At 43.6% G+C, this 20,882-nt stretch overlaps 1 protein-coding gene and 1 pseudogene across 6 annotated transcripts in view, besides 1 other annotated feature; both read left to right on the forward strand.

Moving 5' to 3' along the window:
• KREMEN1 (kringle containing transmembrane protein 1) overlaps positions 1-20,882 on the forward strand; it is a 95,299-nt gene that overhangs the window by 46,271 nt on the left and 28,146 nt on the right. For 3 of the 6 annotated variants that reach the window (NM_032045.5, XM_011530429.3, XM_011530431.3), the window contains 4 exons: positions 2,052-2,176; positions 5,958-6,111; positions 18,037-18,369; positions 19,319-19,528. In NM_032045.5, coding sequence (NP_114434.3) covers positions 2,052-2,176; positions 5,958-6,111; positions 18,037-18,369; positions 19,319-19,528 — 822 coding nt within the window. The remainder of the gene's footprint in view (positions 1-2,051; positions 2,177-5,957; positions 6,112-18,036; positions 18,370-19,318; positions 19,529-20,882) is intronic. The other 3 variants (NM_001039570.3, XM_011530430.3, XM_017028989.2) reach the window with 3 other exon arrangements.
• Positions 9,695-9,903: a silencer, noted in NCBI's record as "fragment chr22:29524988-29525196 (GRCh37/hg19 assembly coordinates)". NCBI's record gives its function as "represses an EF-1alpha promoter that drives an FKBP-Casp9 reporter gene in an ReSE screen in K562 erythroleukemia cells {active_cell/tissue: K562}" and the evidence as "EXISTENCE:reporter gene assay evidence [ECO:0000049][PMID:32094911]".
• On the forward strand, positions 14,709-14,815 carry RNU6-810P (RNA, U6 small nuclear 810, pseudogene; annotated as a pseudogene).

Genomic DNA, 20,882 nt, shown 5'->3' on the forward strand with positions numbered 1-20,882 from the left:
CTGGCACAGATATTTATTCACCAACCCAGAAGCTCTCCAAATGGCATCTTTTAGGAATTTTAACGATGGCTTCATTACATAGGCATGATTGATTATTAACTCAATTTCTAGACTCTCTCCTCTCCCTGGAGGATGTGGGGGTGTGGGACTGAAAGTTCCAAGCTTTTAATCATGGCTTCATCTTTCTTGTGACCACCCTCCATCCTGAAGCTATCCAGGAGCCTACCAAGAGTTGCCTCATTAGAACAAAAGATGCTCTGGTCACCCAGAAAATTCCCGGAGAGTTGCTCTGTGCCAGGGCAGAGACCAAGTGTCACGGGGGTATGCAAACATTGAGTGCATAGCAGAATCATTGAGGTACATCTTTGAAAGCTGTCTACCAGAGTTGGTACATATATTTAGCTTTCTTTGTTCTCAGCTACAGCTTTTTCTACTAGACCAAACCATCTGATGTGTGGCTGTGAAACACTAATATGCTCAGTGTGGTGGGCTGAAGAATGGCCCTCCAAAGATGTTCATGATATAATCCCTAGAATCTGTGAATACGTTACCTTAGATGGCATAGGAGATTTTGCAGATATGATGAAAGATTTTGTGATAGATTATCCAGGTGAGACCAATGTAATCACAGGGTCCTTAGAGAGGCAGGAGGATCTGAGTCAGAGAAGACAGATGTGACAATGGAAACAGAGGGAGGAAGAAGAGGTGATGAAGGAAACAGAGGGAGGAAGGAGAGGTGATGATGGAAACAGGGAGGAGGGAGAGGTGATGAAGGAAATGGAGGAGGGAGAGGTGATGAAGGAAATGGAGGAGGGAGAGGTGATGATGGAAACAGGGAGGAGGGAGAGGTGATGAAGGAAATGGAGGAGGGAGAGGTGATGAAGGAAACAGGGAGGAGGGAGAGGTGATGAAGGAAATGGAGGAGGGAGAGGTGATGAAGGAAACAGGGAGGAGGGAGAGGTGATGAAGGAAATGGAGGAGGGAGAGGTGATGATGGAAACAGGGAGGAGGGAGAGGTGATGATGGAAACAGGGAGGAGGGAGAGGTGATGAAGGAAATGGAGGAGGGAGAGGTGATAATGGAAACAGGGAGGAGGGAGAGGTGATGAAGGAAACAGGGAGGAGGGAGAGGTGATGATGGAAACAGGGAGGAGGGAGACGTGATGATGGAAACAGGGAGGAAGGAGAGGTGATAAAGGAAACGGAGGAGGGAGAGGTGATGATGGAAACGGAGGAGGGAGAGGTGACGATGGAAACAGGGAGGAGGGAGAGTTGATGATGGAAACAGGGAGAAAGGAGAAGTGATGAAGGAAACGGAGGAAGGAGAGGTGCTGACGGAAACAGAGGGTGAAATGGTGCGGCTGCAAGCCAAGGCATATGGGCAGCTGCTAGGAGGTTGAAAAGGCAAGGAATGGATTCTCCCCTTGAGCCTCTAGGAGGAACTTGGCTCCACTAACACCTTGAGTTTAGACCCATAAGCCCCACTTAGTACTCCTGACCTCCAGAACTGAAAGATAATAAATTTATGTTATTTAAAGCCACTAGGTTTGTGGTAATTTGTCCCAGCAGCAATAAGGAACTAATATATTCACCAAAAGTCCTTGAGGAAACCCACTTGTGGAATCTTTGAAGGAATTAGGAGCTTAAATAGAAGGTATAGGATAATGGGCTTCTGAGAGGGCTTTTCCTGCCCTCTGGTAACTCTGAAACATAATTTACATTATTGGAGTCTTTCTGTTTTTAGGAAATTGTTCCTAGTTTTCTTCAATACTAAATCCTATCAATATTAAACAGTTTTTTTTTTTTTTAAATACGTATTCGGTTAGTTAAATGTAGACCTAGTCTCACATACTCTTCAAAATAAAACAAAAACATGGTTTTTAGCAGAGGACACTAAAGCTTCCATTTTCAAAGCTGGTTGCTTGTTGTTTATTTGTACCTCAGGAGTGGAAATACTGGCTGAGATGAAAGTACCTGGCACAAATCGCTTTTCCTTCTTGGTGTTTCACAGCCAGATGTTGCGAAATTCTTTTGTTTTTCTTTTTTCTTTAGTGCCTGGAAACCTTGGCTGCTACAAGGATCATGGAAACCCACCTCCTCTAACTGGCACCAGTAAAACGTCCAACAAACTCACCATACAAACTTGCATCAGTTTTTGTCGGAGTCAGAGGTTCAAGGTGATGACTCTGTGGCTGTGTAACTATAGAAAAATATAAAGATGTAAATGCATTTTGCTGAGATAACTTAAAAATAAGTGCTAAGTAAAATAAGCCAGACACAAAAGGCCACATATTGTATGATTCCACTTACATGAATTGTCTAGAATAGGCAAATCCATAGGGATAGAAAGCAGGTTAGTGGTTGCCAGAGGGTGGGAAGCGGGAGGAATTGGTACTAACTGCTAATCAACACAGAATTTCTTTTCTGGGTTATGAATGTTCTGGAATTAGATGGCAGTGACTGCACAACACAGTGACTATACCAATAACCACTGAAATATACACTGAAACAGTGAATGTTATGTTATGTGAATTACATTTCAGTTTTTAAAAAACCTAAAATAACTAAACTTCTAGAAAAATAAACAGAAAATCCTAAAATATTGGGTTAGACAAAGATTTATAAATTGGACACAAAAACAAATCATTTTAAAAAGTTGGTAAATTGAACTTATCAATATTAAAATATTATCTTCAAAAAATAGAGTTAAGAATATGAAAGGCAGACCACAGACTAGGAGAAAGTAGTTGTTAAATATATATCTGATAAAGGACTTGTATACAGAATATATAAAGAACACTTACAGCTCAACAATATGACAACTTGATTTTAAAAATCAGCAAAAAATTTGAAGAGACATTTTATCCCCCAAAAATACATAGATGGCCAATAAACACATGAAAAGATGCTCAGCATCACCAGTTGTCAGGGAAATACAAATTAAAACCACAATGAGATACCACTGCACACCACTTCAGGATGTCTGAAGTTAATACTGAAAATACTAAGAATTGATAAGGATGTGGAGCAACTGAACTCTCATAGACTGCTAGTAGGAATGTAAAATGCTACAGCTTCTTTGAAGAAAGATCTTAAAGTTTCTTTCAAAGTTAAATATGCACATACCTTAAAACTCAGCAATATCACGCCTGGATAGTTACCCAAGATAAATGAAAACCTGTGTTCACATCAAGACTTATATATGAATGTTCATAGCAGCATTATTCATAATAGCTCCAAACTGTAAATAATCTAAACGTCCATTAACTGATGAATGGAGAAATAAAGTACAGTATATCCATACTGTGGAATACCACTCAGCAATAAAACGAAGAGACATATTAAGACCTACTGGCTGGGCACGGTGGCTCATGCCTATAATCCCAGCACTTTGGGAGGCCAAGGTGGGTGGATCACGAGGTCAGGAGTTGGAGACCAGCCTGACCAACATGGTGAAACCCCGTCTGTACTAAAAATACAAAAATTAGCCGGGCATGGTGGTGTGTGCCTGTAATCCCAGCTACTCAGGAGGCTGAGGCGGGAGAATTGCTTGAACACAGGAGGCGGAGGTTGCTGTAGTGAGCCGAGATCGCACCACTGCACTCCAGCCTGGGCAACAGGGCGAGACTCTGTCTCAAAAAAAAAAAAAAAAAAAAAAAAAAGACATACTGTTATATACAACGTGGATGAATCTCCAAAACAGTAGGCTAATTGAAAGAACTTAAACACAAGACTACATACTGAACTCAAAATGTATCCCAAATCTAACTGTAAAATGTAAAATTATAAAACTTCTAGAAGACGATATAAGAGAAAATCTTCATGACTTGAGTTTAGGCAAAAAGTTCTCACATGAGGCACCAAAAGCACGACCCATCATGAGAAAAAATTGGTACATTTTAATTTGGACTTCATAAAAATGTAAAGATCTTGCTCTGTGAAAGATATTTTTAACAGGATGAAAAGACAAGCTATAGCCTGGGAGAAAATATTTGCAAATCACATATGTGACAAAGGACTTGTATCCATAATGTGTAAAATTAAAAAAAAAAAAAGCCAAACAACTCAATAGTTAAAAAAACTGAACAAAGCAATTTAAAAATGGGCAAAAGACCTGAACAGAAGATATACAGATGGCAAATAAGCATATGAAAAGAAGCCAAAGAAGATATACAGATGACAAATAAGCACATGAAAAGATAGTCATCTGGGCGTGGTGGCTCAAGCCTGTAATCCCAGCACTTTGGGAGGCCAAGGCAGGAGGATCACTTGAGGTCAGGAGTTTGAGACCAGCCTGGCCAACATGGCAAAACCCTGTCTCTACTAAAAATACAAAAATTAGCTGGGCGTGGTAGCACACCTGTAGTCCCAGTTACTCGGGAAGCTGAGACAGGACAATTGCTTGCACCTGGGAGGTGGAGGTTGCGGTGAGCCAACATCATACCACTGTACTCCAACCTGGATGACAGAGTGAGACTCTATCTGAAAAACAAAAGAAAACAAAGAAAGAAAAAGAAGATATAGTCGACATCATTAGCCATTAAGGTAATGCCAATTAAAACTAAAATGAGATATCACTACATACCTATTAAAATGGCTAAAATAAAATATACTGAAAATAACAAGTGCTGACAAGGATACAGAGCAACTGGGACTTTCATATATTGTTGGTGCAGATCTAGAATGGTAGTCATTCTGGAAAAAGTTTGGCACTTTTTTATAAAGTTAAATATACATCTACCATATGACCTAGTAATTCCATTCCTAGTTATTACCCTAGAGACATGAAAACTTATATTCACATAAAAATCAGTACACAAATGCTTATAGCAGTTCTATTCATAATTATGAATAACTAGAAACAGCCCAACAGATAAACAAGCTGTGATACATCCATACAATGAACTCTGCTCAGCAATAAGAAGGAGTAAACTATTGATACAAACACCAATTTGGATGACTCTCAAAGACATTATGCTGACTGAAAGAAGCCAGTCTCAAAAAGATTACATACTATATGATTCTATTTATGTGACATTTTCGAAAAGACAAAACTACAGTAAAGGAAAATGCGTCAGTGGTTGCCAGGGTTTCTGGGGGAGGGGGCCTATAAAGCAATAGTGCAAAGAAAATTATTGGGGTAATGGAGCTGTTCTGAATCCTGATTGTACTGGTGGTTGCACAAATCTTTTTTTTTTTTTTCTTTGAGACAGAGTCTCACTGTGTTGCCCAGGCTGCAGTGCAGTGATGCAGTCTCGGCTCACTGCAACATCCACCTCCAGGGTTCAAGCAAATCTCCTGCCTCAGCCTCCCAAGCAGTTGGGATTACAGGTGCCCACGACCACACCTGGCTAATATTTGTATTTTTAGTAGAGACGGGGTTTCACTTTGTTGGCCAGACTGGTCTCTAACTCCTGATCTCAAGTGATCCACCTGCCTCGGCCTCCCAAAGTGCTGGGATTACAGACGTAAGCCACCATGCCCGGCTGTGGTTACACAAATCTATACAAGTGTTAAAATTTATAGAACTATATGCCAAAATACTATATAGCAATGTAAAAACAAAATTGTAAAATGGGGCCTATAATGTGTTTGCTTTGAGGGTTAGCTATAAAGCACTCACTGCCTGGCTCATAGTAAACAGTCAATAAAATGTTTAGCTGTTACTCACATTTGAAGTTTATGAGATTTTCTCCCCCTTAAAACTTACTGAAGTGCAGTAGAAACACAAACATTAAAAAGTGATGCTCGCCGACAGGGAAACACATTGGTGGTTGCGTACTTATTGTTCAGCTTGAAATTAAGTGTTGCAAGAGTGGAAGAAGGGGGAGGTCCCAGGGGAAGGGACCCTGGGAAGTTGAGGCTGATTGCTTGCTGGAAGCCCACCCTGCCAGGCTCCTTCAGGCCATCTGACATCCCTGATGATGCTTACCGTGTGCTGCTTCTCTGTTGTGGCAGTTTGCTGGGATGGAGTCAGGCTATGCTTGCTTCTGTGGAAACAATCCTGATTACTGGAAGTACGGGGAGGCAGCCAGTACCGAATGCAACAGCGTCTGCTTCGGGGATCACACCCAACCCTGTGGTGGCGATGGCAGGATCATCCTCTTTGATAGTGAGTATGCCCTGTGCCCATCACTGCCCAAGGCACAGGAACCCTTGGACCAGAGCAACAAGCCTGCCCACCCTCCCTCCCTTCTATGTATTCATTCATTCACTTGGCAATAGACAATACTTGTGACTAGACCCTGGGAATACAGCACAGTGCATGAAGACTCAGCCCCTGCCTTCTGGAAGAGAGAACAGACACTTAAAAAGGGATTAGCTACAGTCATGCCAAACGGTTTGAAGCAACGTGGCCTATTCTGTGATGCTTAGACAACCCAGAAATGATAACCTTTCCAATTTTACATAGACACTAATATAACAATCCAGTATCAGCTTTATTATACTCTTGCTTTAATATAATTTCCAAACCCTTTTGACTGTTTTTTTTTTAGGCATTTGGGATTTATATATTATTGTGATAGACCTGAGGAGACAGCGTAGCTCTAAGTTGTTTTTTCAGGCCTGGCATTGGGTTTGCCCTGACCCACCTCCTCTCTAAACTGCCGCATTTGTGAGATACTGGCCAGGGGCAGAGTGTGTTCAGAATGGGAGTGGATCCAGGGCCTTGACCTCACCAACATCATGTTCTAACCACTGAGCCAGCTGATTCCTCATCATAATCCACCAGCATCCTCTCAGTGGCAGTGAAACTTTATGATAATTACAGCGCTGTGCAGCACCAGATTTAAAGATAGTGGAGGCAGACAAAAAAAAAAAAAGGCTCGAGATTACCAAGAAATATTGTAGTGTCTGTGGTGTCTTTGGCCTTTAGGCTAGAGGAGGTGCGCTACTGGCATCTCAACCAGGCAGCATGGCTAGTTTTGAGCAAAAATGACATATGGTTTATTAGTTTCCTAGGACTGCCATAACAGATTATCACCAACTGGGTGGCTTAAAACAACAAACATTCATTCTCTGACAGTTCTGGAGGCTAGAAATCCAAAATCGAGGTGTCAGCAGGGCTGTGCTCTCTCCAAAGTCTCCAGGGAAGCCCTCCTCACTTCTGGTGGTTGTCGGCGATCCTTGGCATTTGTTGGCTGCACCACTCCAGTCTCTGCCTTCTCTTTCACATGGCCATCTTCCCTCTGTGTGTGTCTGTGTGTCTATGTCTCTGTGTGTCTCCTTAAAAGGAACCAATCATTGGATTTAGGGCCCACCTTAATTTAGTATAGCCTCATCTTAACTCGGTTACATAACATTCACAGGTACCAGGTGTTAGGACTCGAACTTATCTTTCTAGGGGACACAATTCAGCCACTATATATATGGTGACTATAAAACCCAGCCAAGGTTTATAACTGAGCCTTTTACATGTTATAGCTTAGATATTATCTAAAGTGTGTTTGTATTTGGGGTGGGAAGACAGGATTAGTGAACAGAACTTACAGTCAATTGGTTTTTTTAGCTAAGTGTGCCCATTGGAGACTGCCAGTTGATTCCTATACATCCTGTTATGTCCAGACCAATGCTTAGTTTGATACCTTTGTTTTGGCTAAAGACTGAACTTTGGCTAATGATTAACGAATCTTGCTAATGCTTAGTTGGCAAATAACTACCCACTGCACATCTATTTAACCTTTTATTCTAGAGTTCATTATTATAAGATTCTCTGCCTTAACACTGTAACTCAGGAGAGTAAGTTTTCTGAACTTGCAGAATGCCTGGTATACTCTTAAGTGAAAAAACAAAGGAAATGTTTCTTGAGTACCTAGTATGCATGAAGGCCTTATCTAAATTATCACATTCGGTTCTCTTGGCACCCTTCTGAAGTAGGGGTTATTGTGATTACTCTCATTTCACAGAAGACAGCCACATGACATGGACAGGATAAATAACTTGCTGGGATTCATACTGCTAAGAAACCACTAGAGAGGTGCTAGAGAGGAAAGAGGAGTAGTGTGAGGGTTTACTACCTGTTTTTTGACTTTAAATAGAATGCAGTGTCAATTAAAAAATGGAAAATGAGTGTCCACAGATATATGGAGAAATTGGAACCCTCATACATTGCTGGTGGGAATGTAAAATGGTGCAGCTGCTTTGGAAAACAGTCTGGCCAGCCTGGCCAACATGGTGAAACCCCATCTCTACTAAAAATACAAAAATTAGCTGGTTGTGGTGGCACACGTGCCTGTAATCCCAGCTACTCGGGAGGCTGAGGCACAAGAATCACTTGAACCCAGGAGGTGGAGGTTGCAGTGAGCTGAGATAGCGCTCTGCCTGGCGACAGAGCGAGACTCCATCTCAAAAAAAAAAAGTAAACAGTCTGGCATTTCCTCAAAACGTGAACAGAGAGTAACTGTATGACCCAGCAATTCCATTCTTAGGTATATACCTGAGAGAACTGAAAACATGTTTCCACAAAAAACATACATACCAATGTTCCTAGCAACATTATTCATAATAGCCAAAAAGCGGCAGCAAACCAAATGTCTATCAGCTGATGAATGGATAAACAAAGTGGATATCCATATGATGGAATATTATTCAACCATAAAAATAAATAAAGTACTGAGGCATGCTACAACATGGATGAACCTTGAAACCATTATTCTAAATGAAAGAACCAGATGCAAAGGGCTACATATTTTATGATCTCATTTATATGAAATGTCCAGAATAGGCAAAGCCACACAAATGGAAGCCAGATTCCGGGTTGCCAAGGGCTGGGGGAAGGGGAAGAATATGGAGTGACTGCTTAATAGGTACGGATTTTCTTTTTAGGGTGATAAAAATGTTCTGGAATTAGGGATGATGATTGTATAACATTGTGGATATACTGAATACCACTGATTCATATATAGATAGTCCCCAACTTAGGACAGTCAACTTATGATTTTTCAACTTTGCAGTAGGTTTATCAGGGTATTAAATGCATATTTCACTTTGATATTTTCAATTTACAATGAGTTTATCAGGACATAACCCCATTATAAGTCAAGGAACATCTGTACTTTAAAATGGTTAAAATGGTGGATTTTAGATCAAGAAGAAATAGAATGTAGTTTTTATAAGACAGTCTTTGAATTAGTACATTTTTATTGGGCATCTGCTGTGTGGTAGATAAAAGTATGTTTTCTTTAGTATAGTGCCTTTACTGGAGGTGTCAAGCAGAAATAATCTGGATTAAATTGTAAATGCAGCACTATGGAAATAGTCTCTAAAGTGCACACCAAGTAGCATCTTTGGTACTACTAGGAAAGAGTACTGGCCCTCACATAAAGGTGCACTGAAGTGAATTAATTATAACAACAATTATTGCTATTTACTGAGTGCTTGTCATGTGCTAGACTTGATGCCAAGTGCTTTTGTGAATTTTATGTTATTTAATCCTTGTAGCAATCCTGTTGATAAGAAAACTGTGGATCAAAAGATGAAGTAATTTGTCTATGCTAGTAAGTGCCAGAGCCAGGATTCAAACCCTGGTTTGCCACATTTGAAATTTTTCTATTTTCAGCAGCTAGAATCCCTTTTATTAACAATAGTAAAAATAGATCATAATAACGGATCCAGTTTTATGCTTTAAAGTTATATGAACAAAGTATGCCCAGTTCTGATTATTCCCACATTGGCCCCTTGTGCAGCTCTCCAGAAGCTGCCCTTCCTGGCTTGCATTTGCTCAAGGACTAAGAAGGCTGGCATTCTGAGAGGCTGCTCACGCCATCCTCCAGAGGCCCAGATGCCTGTGGTCTACAGGACCCCTGACAGCAGCCAGTTCTGTAACTCACACCCCATTGCTCTGCTGAGAAAGGTACAAAATGCAGCACTGTATAAATAATCTCTAAAGGTGCATCTAGAGGCCGGCACAGGGGTGCACACCTGTAATTCTAGGCTGGAGGCTGAGGCAGGAGAATCGCTTCAACCCGGGAGGTGGAGGTTGCAGTGAGCCGAGATCACACCACTGTACTCCAGCCTGGGCGACAGAGTGAGACTCCATCTAAAAAAAAAAAGGTCCATCTAGTAGAGAGTAAAATAGTTTGAACAGCTCAAGTACCGCCTCATGGAAATCCTTATGACTCATTGAACAAGGCTGAGCACTTTGGAAATGGTGACCACAGACTGTCCCATGATTTAGGAGGGTGAAGATGTCTCCCTAAAGATATTGGAGAAGTTAGATGGTGAGAAACGACCAGGTTACAGTCTGTCTCCCAGAACATGAGGCCCTGCTACCAGTGTGGCTCGCATGTGGGTCTCAGTCAGAGTGTCAGCGACATCTTCCTGTCCTCTGCTGATTAGAGGAACACCCAGGCTCCTCTGCAGTAGAAGTACTCAGGCTGTGTTTGCTCTTTGGCAGACAGACGACGGGGCTAGTGGGGGTGGAGGGTGAGGGGCAGCTGGCAGAAGCTGTCTGCTCAGTCATCACTGCCACATCAAGTAATTTGTCACAGACTCTCTGGCTGATTTTTCAGCAAGCTCATGGACTTGGAGAGGTCACAGAGGTGAGCTGTGTACTGTGGGCAAGCACAACACTGACGGGGGCTTCATAGCCTCTGCTACCCCTAGGGATTATAATTTATTGAATTAACATAACCAAACAGAAGAACATGTAGGCCAGAGTCAACAGTGGGTTACAGGAACTACCCAGGCTAGCCTGTTGGGACTCCCTTGGCTTCTAGGCCCTGAAGGGAGGGGTCAGTCATCTGGATTGGACCTTATTTTGTAGCATTAGTTGAACATTTATCATTGACAGGAGCCTGTGCTATTCACTTTACATGCGTTGTCTCCCTTAATTCTCACAGTACTGTGAAGCAGGTACTGTTATGCTTATTTTACAGATGAGAAAACTGAGGCTCATAAAAGTTCAGTAATCTGCCCAAGGTCCCACAGATAAAGATCCTGCCTTCATGGAACCTTTATTTTAGTGGGAAGGGAAGAGATTAATTGTGAAAGTGATTGGTCTAAGGATGGGTAGGATCTGGCTCCTGGGACTGTGTTAGCAATTGCATTTCATAGACTCTAAGATGCCTCAATTCTGAGGTGCAACATTATTTTATACACCATTAAGGGAAAAAGTATTTCCAGTTTAACAATGACATGCATTGACTAAAAGATACATCCCAGTTTAAAAGATTAAAGTGTATCCCTTAGAGTTGATGAAATATGGTACCAGCCTTCTTTCTTGGGTGCCAAGAAAGAGTAGAATCTTTCCATCCTGAGTGGAATCTGATTCATGGCTGGGACCCATTTGGCTAAGGTTTGTTTCCTGAGACATGCCCATTATCATTCCTGTCTAGAAGTGGAGCACTCAGCTGGGGTTCCGGGAAGCTGCCTGTCATGACTAGTGCCTGAGGCTTCTTCCCAAAGAAATGGACTCAGCTAGTATCGAGAAGGAGCAGGAAGATTGAAGAGAATCACAGAAGGCAGGAGGACACCGGCCCCCTGCCATGGAGGGCTTGCCCAGGTCTATCCTGGGCCCTCCACTCACCCAGATTGTATATGTCGGGCTAATCTCTCCTTCAAAAAATAAGGTCTTGACTACTATATTTCAAGTTTCCTGTTGGATTATCACTGAATTTTAATAATCCATCATAAAGATCATCTGTTCTCAAAACTGCTGAATTAAATATGCTGTCAGCATGGAATCCAAAGTTTTAGGTTTAAGGTCTGCCCTTGCTATTGAAAAATACCAGTTTCAGTTGGATACTTTATTCTTTTCAAATAATGGTAAAAATAGAATACCCAACACTTACTGAGCTTATACTGTGTGTCACATCTTACACAGAACACTTCATAAGCATTGCTCCTGCTAATTCTCATGACCCCACGAGAGAGAAACTATTACCATTTTCATTTTATAGATGAATAAACTGAGATATACAGAGGTTTAGTAACCTGCTCAAATTCATAGTTAGTACATGGTGAAGTCAGGATTAGAACCCAGGAAGTCTTTCTCCAAAGCTTGATTTTTTCTTAAATTAGGTTCTAATTTTAGGTATAATGTACATACAGTAAAAATCACCCTTTCAGTTGTATACTTCAGTGGGATTTGACAAATATATAAGCAATCGAGATTAGGACTTTTTTTTTTTATCACCTCACAAGTTCCTTTCTGCTCCTTTGTGGTCAGTTCCCTTCCCCAACCCAACTCCTCAGCAACAACTGATCTGTATTCTGTTCATATATATATATATATATATATATATATATATATATATGTGTGTGTGTGTGTGTGTGTGTGTGTGTGTGTGTATATGTATATATGTGTGTATATATATGTATATATGTATATATATGTGTGTATATATATGTATATATATACATGTATATATATGCATATATACATGTATATATGTGTATATATATGTATATATGTATATATATGTATATATGTGTATATATATGTATATATGTATATATATATGTATATATATATATAGTTTTGTGTTTTGCAGAATATTATATAAATGGAATCACAGTATTTAGCCATTTGTCTCTGGCTTCTTTCACTTAGAATAATGCTTTTTTTTTTTTTTTTTTTTTTTTGAGATGGAGTTTCACTCTTGTTGCCCAGTCTAGAGTGCAATGGCGCGATCTTGGCTCACAGCAACCTCCGCCTCCCTGGTTCAAGCCATTCTCCTGCCTCAGCCTCCGGAGTAGCTGGGATTACAGGCATGCACCACCACACATGGCTAATTTTGTATTTCTAGTAGAGATGGGGTTTCTCCGGGTTGGTCAGGCTGGTCTCAAACTCCGGACCTCAGGTGATCCACCCGCCTTTTCCTCCCAAAGTGCTGGGATTACAGGTGTGAGCCACCACGACCGGCCAGAATAATGCTTTATGATTCACCTATGTTGTTGCCTGTATCAGTAGTTTTTTTCCTTTTTATTGCTAAGAAGCGTTCCTTTGTACAGATGTATCGCAATCTGTTCATCTATTCACCAATTGACAAACATTGGTCTGTCTATGATAAAGCTGTTGTAAACATCCAAGTACAGGTGCTTATGTGGACATATGTTGTCATTTCTCTTGGGTACCTACCTAGGAGTGGGATTGCTGGGTCATGTGCTAAGTGCATATTTAGCATTATAAGTCACTGCCAACTGTTTTCCAAAGTGGATGTGCCATTTTGCATTCTGACCACCAATATGTATGATTTTCATTTGCTCCACTTTCTCTCCAGCTACAGATACTTTTGTATGATCTGTTTTTTAAATGTGATCCATTCTAGTAGGTATGTAGTAGTATCTCATTGTGGTTTTAATTTGCATTTCTCTAATTACCAATGATATTGAACATCTTTTTGTATTCTTATTTGCCATCTGGTATATTCCTTTCCCCTAAAGAAATTCCTTTAGCATTTTGTCTAGTACAGGTTGACTGTCAATAGCTTCTTTCAGCTATTGTTCGAAAAAGCTTTATTTCACCTGCATTTTTTTGAGTAATTTTTGCTGGGTATTGATTTCTGTGCTGACAGCTTTTTTCTTTCAGTACTTCAAAGATATTGGTCCATATTCTTGTGACTTGTATGGTTTTTAGAGATGTCTGCTCTATCTTTATTCCCCTGTATGTAATCTTTTCCTCTTCCTTGCCTGCCTTCAAGATTTTATCTTTGGTTTTGAGGCCGGATGTGGTGGCTCATGCCTGTAATCCCAGCACTTTGGGAGGCCGAGGCGGGTGGATCACGAGGTCAGGAGATCGAGACCATCCTGGCGAACACGGTGAAACCCCGTCTCTACTAAAAATACAAAAAATTAGCCAGGCGAGGTGGCGCATGCCTGTAGTCCCAGCTACTTGGGAGGCTGAGGCAGGAGAATGGCGTGAACCCAGGAGGTGAAGCTTGCAGTGAGCAGAGATCGCGTCATTGCACTCCAGCCTGGGCAACAGAGCGAGACTCCATCTCAAAAAAAAAAAAAAGAAAAAAGAAAAAAGATTTTATCTTTGGTTTTGGTTTTCAACTTTTTTTTTTTTTTGAGACAGGGTCTTACTCTGTCACCCAGGCTAGAGTGCAGTAGTGCAGTCATGGCCCACTGCAGCCTCGACCCCCCTGGGCTCAAGCAATCCTCCTGCCTTAGCCTCCTGAGTAGCTGGGATTATGGGCATGTGCCACCATACCCAGCTAAGTTTTTAATTTTGTATAGAGATAGGGTCTCACTATGTTACCCAGACTGATCTTGAACTCCTGGGCTCAAGCAGTCCTCCTGCCTTAACCTCCCAAAGTGCTGGGATTACAGGCATGAGCCACCATGCCCAGACTGGTTTTCAACATTTAACTATGATGTGTCTAGGTGTGTCTTCTTTGTCTGTTTTTTTTTGTTTGTTTTTTTTGCTTTTGTTTTTGTTTTTAATTTTTTTGTTTGCTTGGGTTTGCTGAAATTCTTGGATCTGTAGTTTGTCACCTTTTACTGATTTTGGAACATTTTTCACCATTATCTCTTCAAACATTTCTTCTGTTCCATTCTTTTTTTCTTCTTTTGGCACTGCAATTACACGTATGTTAGACTATTTGATATTGTCCTACAGCTGTTGGGAGCTCTGTTCTCTTTGTTTCACTTTGTTTTCCCCTTTGTTTCATTTGGGGATAATTTCTATTGACCTGTCTTCATGTTTATTGATTCTTTCCTCAGCTGTGTCTAGTATCCTGATAAGCCCATCAAAGGAATTCTTCAGTGCTTGCTTCAGCAGCACATATACTAAAATTGGAACAAAACAGAGTATATTAGCATGGCCCCTGTGCAAGGATGACATGCGAATTCATGAAGCATTCTATAATTAAAAAAAAATTCATCTCCAATATTGTTTGATTTCCAGTAGATTTTTTTTTTTTTTAAGAGACAAGGTCTCACTCTGCCACCTAGGCTGGAGTGCAATGGTGCAATCATAGCTCTCTGCAGCCTTGACCTGCTGGGCTCAAGTGATCCTCCTGCGTCAGAACCCTGAGTAGCTGGGACTGCAGGCACACACCACCATGCCTGGCTAATTTTAAAATTTTTGTAGAGATGGGGTCTCACTGTGTTCCTCAGGCTGGTTTTGAACTCCTAGCCTTGAGAGATCCTCCTCCCGTGGCCCCTCAAAGTGTTGGGATTACAGGCATGAGCCACCATGCCTTGCCTCCAGTAGATTATTTACCGTATTCATCATGTAGTCTCTGTCTGATCGTTCTAGCATCTGGGTCATCATTGAGTCTAGTTCTGTAGATTGTTTTAACAATGTCTTTCCCCCCTCCCACCCTTGCTTTTATATGTGTGTTGTAATTTTTTATTGAATGCCATATGCTATGTATAGAAGAACACTAGGGGCTGAGATAGTGTTTACACCTGGGCAGATCTGCATAGTGTAGGGACTGAGCCAGTCTATCAGAAGTTGAGCTAGGTTGTTTCTATCACTACCCTCAATGCACATCAGGCTTTAAATTCCTCCAGTGACGGGCTGCTATCAGCTTGTGCTTAGTGTGGAGCCTAGAGTACCCGTGAGTTTTCCTCAGTAGCCCTGTTCCATCCTCAGCTTTGAGGAGTTCCCACATGCCTGTGCCACAGAGGGGCTCCTTCTCCACCCTCTTTCCCTCCCTCAGTGGTAGGCTATGGCTGTTTGTTACCTGGCTGTACTCATGGTGAGGTCATGGAGGTGGTTCTTGGTTCTCCTGCCCTGTCCTCAGTCTTAGACAGGATGTGTAAAGGCCACCAGCCTGAGGTCTTTTCAGCATTCCCACACCCTTCTTCTCTCCCTGGCAGCCAAACACTGCCTTGCGTCTGTGGTGGATCTTGGGAAGGAGAATTTCTTGCCCTCCCTCCAGGAGTAGTAGAGCTCTGCTTTGCATCGGCTGCAGTATCCTGGACTCAAGAGGGCTCAAGGCAATCAGGGACCAATGGCTTTTGCTTCTGTTCTTCCCCTAGAAGCAGTGAATCTTCACCTGGTTACTTTGATAGGAAGGGGAATTTCAAGGAGGCTGAAATTTGGGTTTGTGAAATGGTGTTTGGTATAGACTTTTCTAGTCAAATCAGGTCTACTCCCTCCCCCAGAGGCAAACAGATTTTGCTTCTGTCTGTTTTCAGTGGCCCTGGGAGTAACAGGATTTGCTTCCCCTCTCCCAGCTGCCGAAGGCTTTTACTTTCTTAGAGAGGAGAGTCCCTTCCTGCAAGTGTGAAGAGAAGGAAGTGGGCAGTATTCCATTCCTGTCCGCCAGTGGCAGCCTGTCACCTCCTGCACACTCATGCCACTCAGGGGGACTGTGGTCTGCTGGCCAACCCGAGTCACTTGTGAAAGCACTGAGTGGAGGTCTGTGCAGAAAAGCTCACAAGTGAGTGCAAAATGCCCGTTGTGTCTGGGACTCCCAGTTGCCCTAAGCTGAGACACTAGCCCACTCTCAGCCTTTAAGAGTTTGTTAAAATTTTAGTGCTTTCTTGTTACTTCTCTGGCGGTCACCTCTTCCTCCTGTGTTCTCTCAAAGATGAAACTGTTTGTGTGGCCTGACTCTCCTTGATGGGGCTTTGATTTTGTAGAATTAAGTTCCCCTGGTTGTCATGAGACCTCAGCTGAGTTTTAAGCTTTTTCTCATTGTTAGGATAGAAGCAGCATTCACTTGTTGTTGTTGTTTTGAGACAGAGCCTCACTCTGTTGCCCAGGCTGGAGTGCAGTAGCGTGATCTCGGCTCACTGCAACCTCCAGCTCCCGGGTTCAAGAAATTCTCCCGTCTCAGCCTCCCTAGTAGCTGGGACTATAGTCACACGCCACCACGCCCAGCTAATTTTTGTATTTTTAGTAGAGACGGGGTTTCACCATATTGATCAGGCTGGTCTTTAACTCTTGACCTCAGGTGATCCACCTGCCTTGGCCTCCCAAAGTGCTGGGATTACAGGCGTGAGCCACCGCGCCCGGACTGCTTGTTGTTTTCTACATCCTAAAGGGAACCAGAACTCCCCCAAAGCCTGCTTTTTAAATCCTAGCCCTGGCCGGGTGCGGTGGCACATGCCTATAATCCCAGCACTTTGGGAGGCCGGGACGGGTGGATCACGAGGTCAGGAGATCGAGACCATCCTGGCTAACACGGTGAAACCCCATCTCTACTAAAAATACAAAAAAAGTTAGCCAGCCTGGTGGTGGACACCTGTAGTCCCAGCTACTCGGAAGGCTGAGACAGGAGAATTGGTGTGAACCCAGGAGAAGGAGGTTGCAGTGAGCCGAGATCACACCACTGCACTCCAGCCTGGGAGACAGACGGAGACTCCTTCTCAAAAAAAAAAAAAAATAGAATCCTAGCCCTACATTCCCTCCCAAGGAGTTTCAGTTCTAAGATCTTGTTTACATTTCACCATGTAAGACAGGAAATCACTGCATCCCCTTTCTAGAACATGCCTATCAAAAACAGGAGTCCAGAGAAAGCAAATGTGCCCAGTACAGAGTGCTCAGAATCTAGCATGTTTCCTCACTGCAGAAAGTCATTTCTTGTGCTGCAGTTTCCCTGCTTGAAAACGTGGTCCCTCATGGGAGCGTTGCATGGGTACTGGGGACACACAAGCAGCTGTAAAGCCCTTCTCTTTTGACAGCTTTACCTCATCGGGTGGCTTCCCTGCAGAGTGGCCTGAGTGGTTCGTGTGCTTTGTCTCATGTGCCATCACACATTCCCGTGATACAGGAGCAGATGGTGCTCTCTCCAGCCTTGAAACTGAGAGAAGCAAGAGGCCCGCGAGTGAAGTGCGGCCCCTGCCATCACTTGGCCCTGCCAGTCCCAAGTCCAGACTCTCTGACTCCAGCCCTGCCCCAACCTAGGCCACACCACTGTGCTGTGTGCTAATTCTAAGGTCTCTGGGGGGAAAAACATCTCCACAGTCATTTTTCGAGAGTCTCAGCGATTCGTTTTGTGACTGTCAGGTTTTACAGATAGAAACAATGTCCTAAATGGGATCCTGCTCGTTAGGAAGGCTTTAGTGCCTTGGTGTTGGAAGCGCGCCTGTGGCAAAGGCCCAGACTGAGGGCGTGGTGTCTTTTTCTCTCCTACAGCTCTCGTGGGCGCCTGCGGTGGGAACTACTCAGCCATGTCTTCTGTGGTCTATTCCCCTGACTTCCCCGACACCTATGCCACGGGGAGGGTCTGCTACTGGACCATCCGGGTTCCGGGGGCCTCCCACATCCACTTCAGCTTCCCCCTATTTGACATCAGGGACTCGGCGGACATGGTGGAGCTTCTGGATGGCTACACCCACCGTGTCCTAGCCCGCTTCCACGGGAGGAGCCGCCCACCTCTGTCCTTCAACGTCTCTCTGGACTTCGTCATCTTGTATTTCTTCTCTGATCGCATCAATCAGGCCCAGGGATTTGCTGTTTTATACCAAGGTAAGACATCTTTGCCTCCTTGGGGGTTCTTCAGGGCCCACGTGCCTTGGGCTTCTCTTCTTCACCCTTGTGACTTGGGCAGTTCTTGCGGGGCAGATTGGGCCTCAGGAACTACTGACTCAACTTGCAGATCACCCCGAGGCTGTGGCTCCTTCCCTACCCCCATTTCATAACTCATTTATGTTTCATGAGACAGAAAAGAGGTGAAAACCTGTCAATTTGGCTATTTTAGTAGGTCTAATGACAGTTTTCATGGGAGGGTTAAAAGAATTTAAAAAAACAGAATAACTAAAAGGAACAGCTGAGACTGGGACAGTTGGAAGGTTATCAAAAGGTCATCTGGTCCGTCCTCCTTCCTCTAAACATCCTAGCTAATTCCAAAAGACTGGCTTGCCATCTTCAAACCCTGCTATGATGGAGCCACACTCTCTGCCTCTGTAATGTGAGCACATGTGTGCCGGGCACATCTCTTTGCCAGGACACAAGAAACACAGAAGGTGTTTGAGACATTGTCTTTGTCCTGGATAGCAAACCTCAAGAAGAGTTCAGGTAGTGTGTGCTCCAGGAGACCCATGGGAAGAGGCCCTCTCTCCAGGTGGGACAGTCTTGAGGAACAGGTAGCATTTGGATCAATAGGAAAAAAGCGAACCTTCCAGGCATAGGGAGCCATAGCTGCCAAGTACAGGGGCAGAGAAGCTGTAAACCATGCCCAGGTGTCTGAGATGAGACTAGCCACATTCTGTGAAGTTGACAGGTTCATCCTTCTGCCTTCTAAAGGGTGACAGCCTGACAGGTTCTGTTTTGGGGCTGGTGGGACCCACCTATGGAAGGAATTGCACCCAGAATTGAATCAGAGAAGAACTCTTCTTCATAACTCGTGCTCTCCTCCCGCACAACTCTTTGTTGTCTCCATAGCCCTGTCCCCAGTTAATTGCTTTTTCTCTTCCAGCCGTCAAGGAAGAACTGCCACAGGAGAGGCCCGCTGTCAACCAGACGGTGGCCGAGGTGATCACGGAGCAGGCCAACCTCAGTGTCAGCGCTGCCCGGTCCTCCAAAGTCCTCTATGTCATCACCACCAGCCCCAGCCACCCACCTCAGACTGTCCCAGGTAGCAATTCCTGGGCGCCACCCATGGGGGCTGGAAGCCACAGAGTTGAAGGTAGCGCTCTTGACAGTTATAAAGACAAAAGCACTTGGGTGTTTCTTATTCAGAGGCAGGTTGGGATACTGGCTCTGTGACCTATAGTCTGTCCTGGCTTTTGAGGGAAATTTTCTTATTAGCTTGGTTCCTTAGTCCTGAGGGAAAAGTGCTCACCTCCAAAAATTAGGCAAGCGTGCCTTTTGTACATTGTGACTAATCAGCTAATCCCGTATTTTCCCACATTGAGATTATCTTTCTAGAGCCCCACATGGAAACTCCCTAAATCCACTGGCATTTGCAAGAACTCCATTCATTCACTCACTGACTCATTCATTCAAAAGATATATAAGTGCTTCAGTGGTGCCAGGCACTGTTCTAGGTACTGGATTATAGAGTGAACCAAACACAACCCCTGCCCTTCTGTGGCGTATAAATGAGAGGAGAAAGATAGAAAGCAAAATAAAAATCAGATAATGATAAGAGCTATGAAGAAAAGTCATGCAGGGCCAGGTGCAGTGGCTCATGCCTGTAACCCCAGCACTTTGGGAGGCCGAGGCAGGAAGATTGCTTGAGGCCAGGAGTTCGAGACTAGCCTGAGCAACATAGGGAGACCCTTTCTCTACAAAAAATAAAAAAAATTATCTGGGTGTGGTGGTGCACGCTTGTGGTCCCAGCTACTTAGGAGGTTGAGGTGGGAGGATCGCTTGAGCCCAGGAGTTCAAGAATGCAGTGAGCTATGATTGCACCATTACACTCCAACCTGGGTGACAGAATGAGACCTTGTCTCAAAAAGAAAAGAGTAGAAAAATTAGCTGGGCGTAGTGGCACATGCCTATAGTCTCAGCTACTCGGGAGGCTGAGGCAGGAGGATTGCTTGAGCCCAGGAGCTTGAGGATGCAGTGAGCCAAGGAAGTGATGCCTTTATGAGCTGGTAGAACTGGAAAGTATCCTCAGTGGTGACCTAGCCTGGAGGCTTTCAAATTGCCCTGGGCCCCTGCAGGACCCACCATAGAAGGTCAGGGAGAAGGGCCTGTCCAGCACTTCCTGTGCGTCATTAGGCTGTGGTTCTCATAGGTAGCATCTCATAGGTCACATATCTCATTCCTCGGATGAGGAAACTGAGGCCCAAAGAGTTTACATAACTCCATCTGTGGTTACACAGTGGTCCCAGTGGCAGAGACAAAATGCATGTCATCCCTTTAGATTCTGAGTCCAATAGACTTTGGATCATCCTGTCTGCCTCTCCCTGAGAGTGACTTGTAGAACAAAGGGAAATATTCAGAACACCTGGGGCCCCATGCTTAGCCTGGGTCAGCTGCTCCTGAGGCTAGGTTTGCTAGCTGCCCTCCCACACCGGCCTGCAGGGAGCCCC

The sequence above is a fragment of the Homo sapiens genome, chromosome 22, assembly GCF_000001405.40.
Source record: "Homo sapiens chromosome 22, GRCh38.p14 Primary Assembly".
Taxonomy (NCBI): domain Eukaryota; kingdom Metazoa; phylum Chordata; class Mammalia; order Primates; family Hominidae; genus Homo; species Homo sapiens.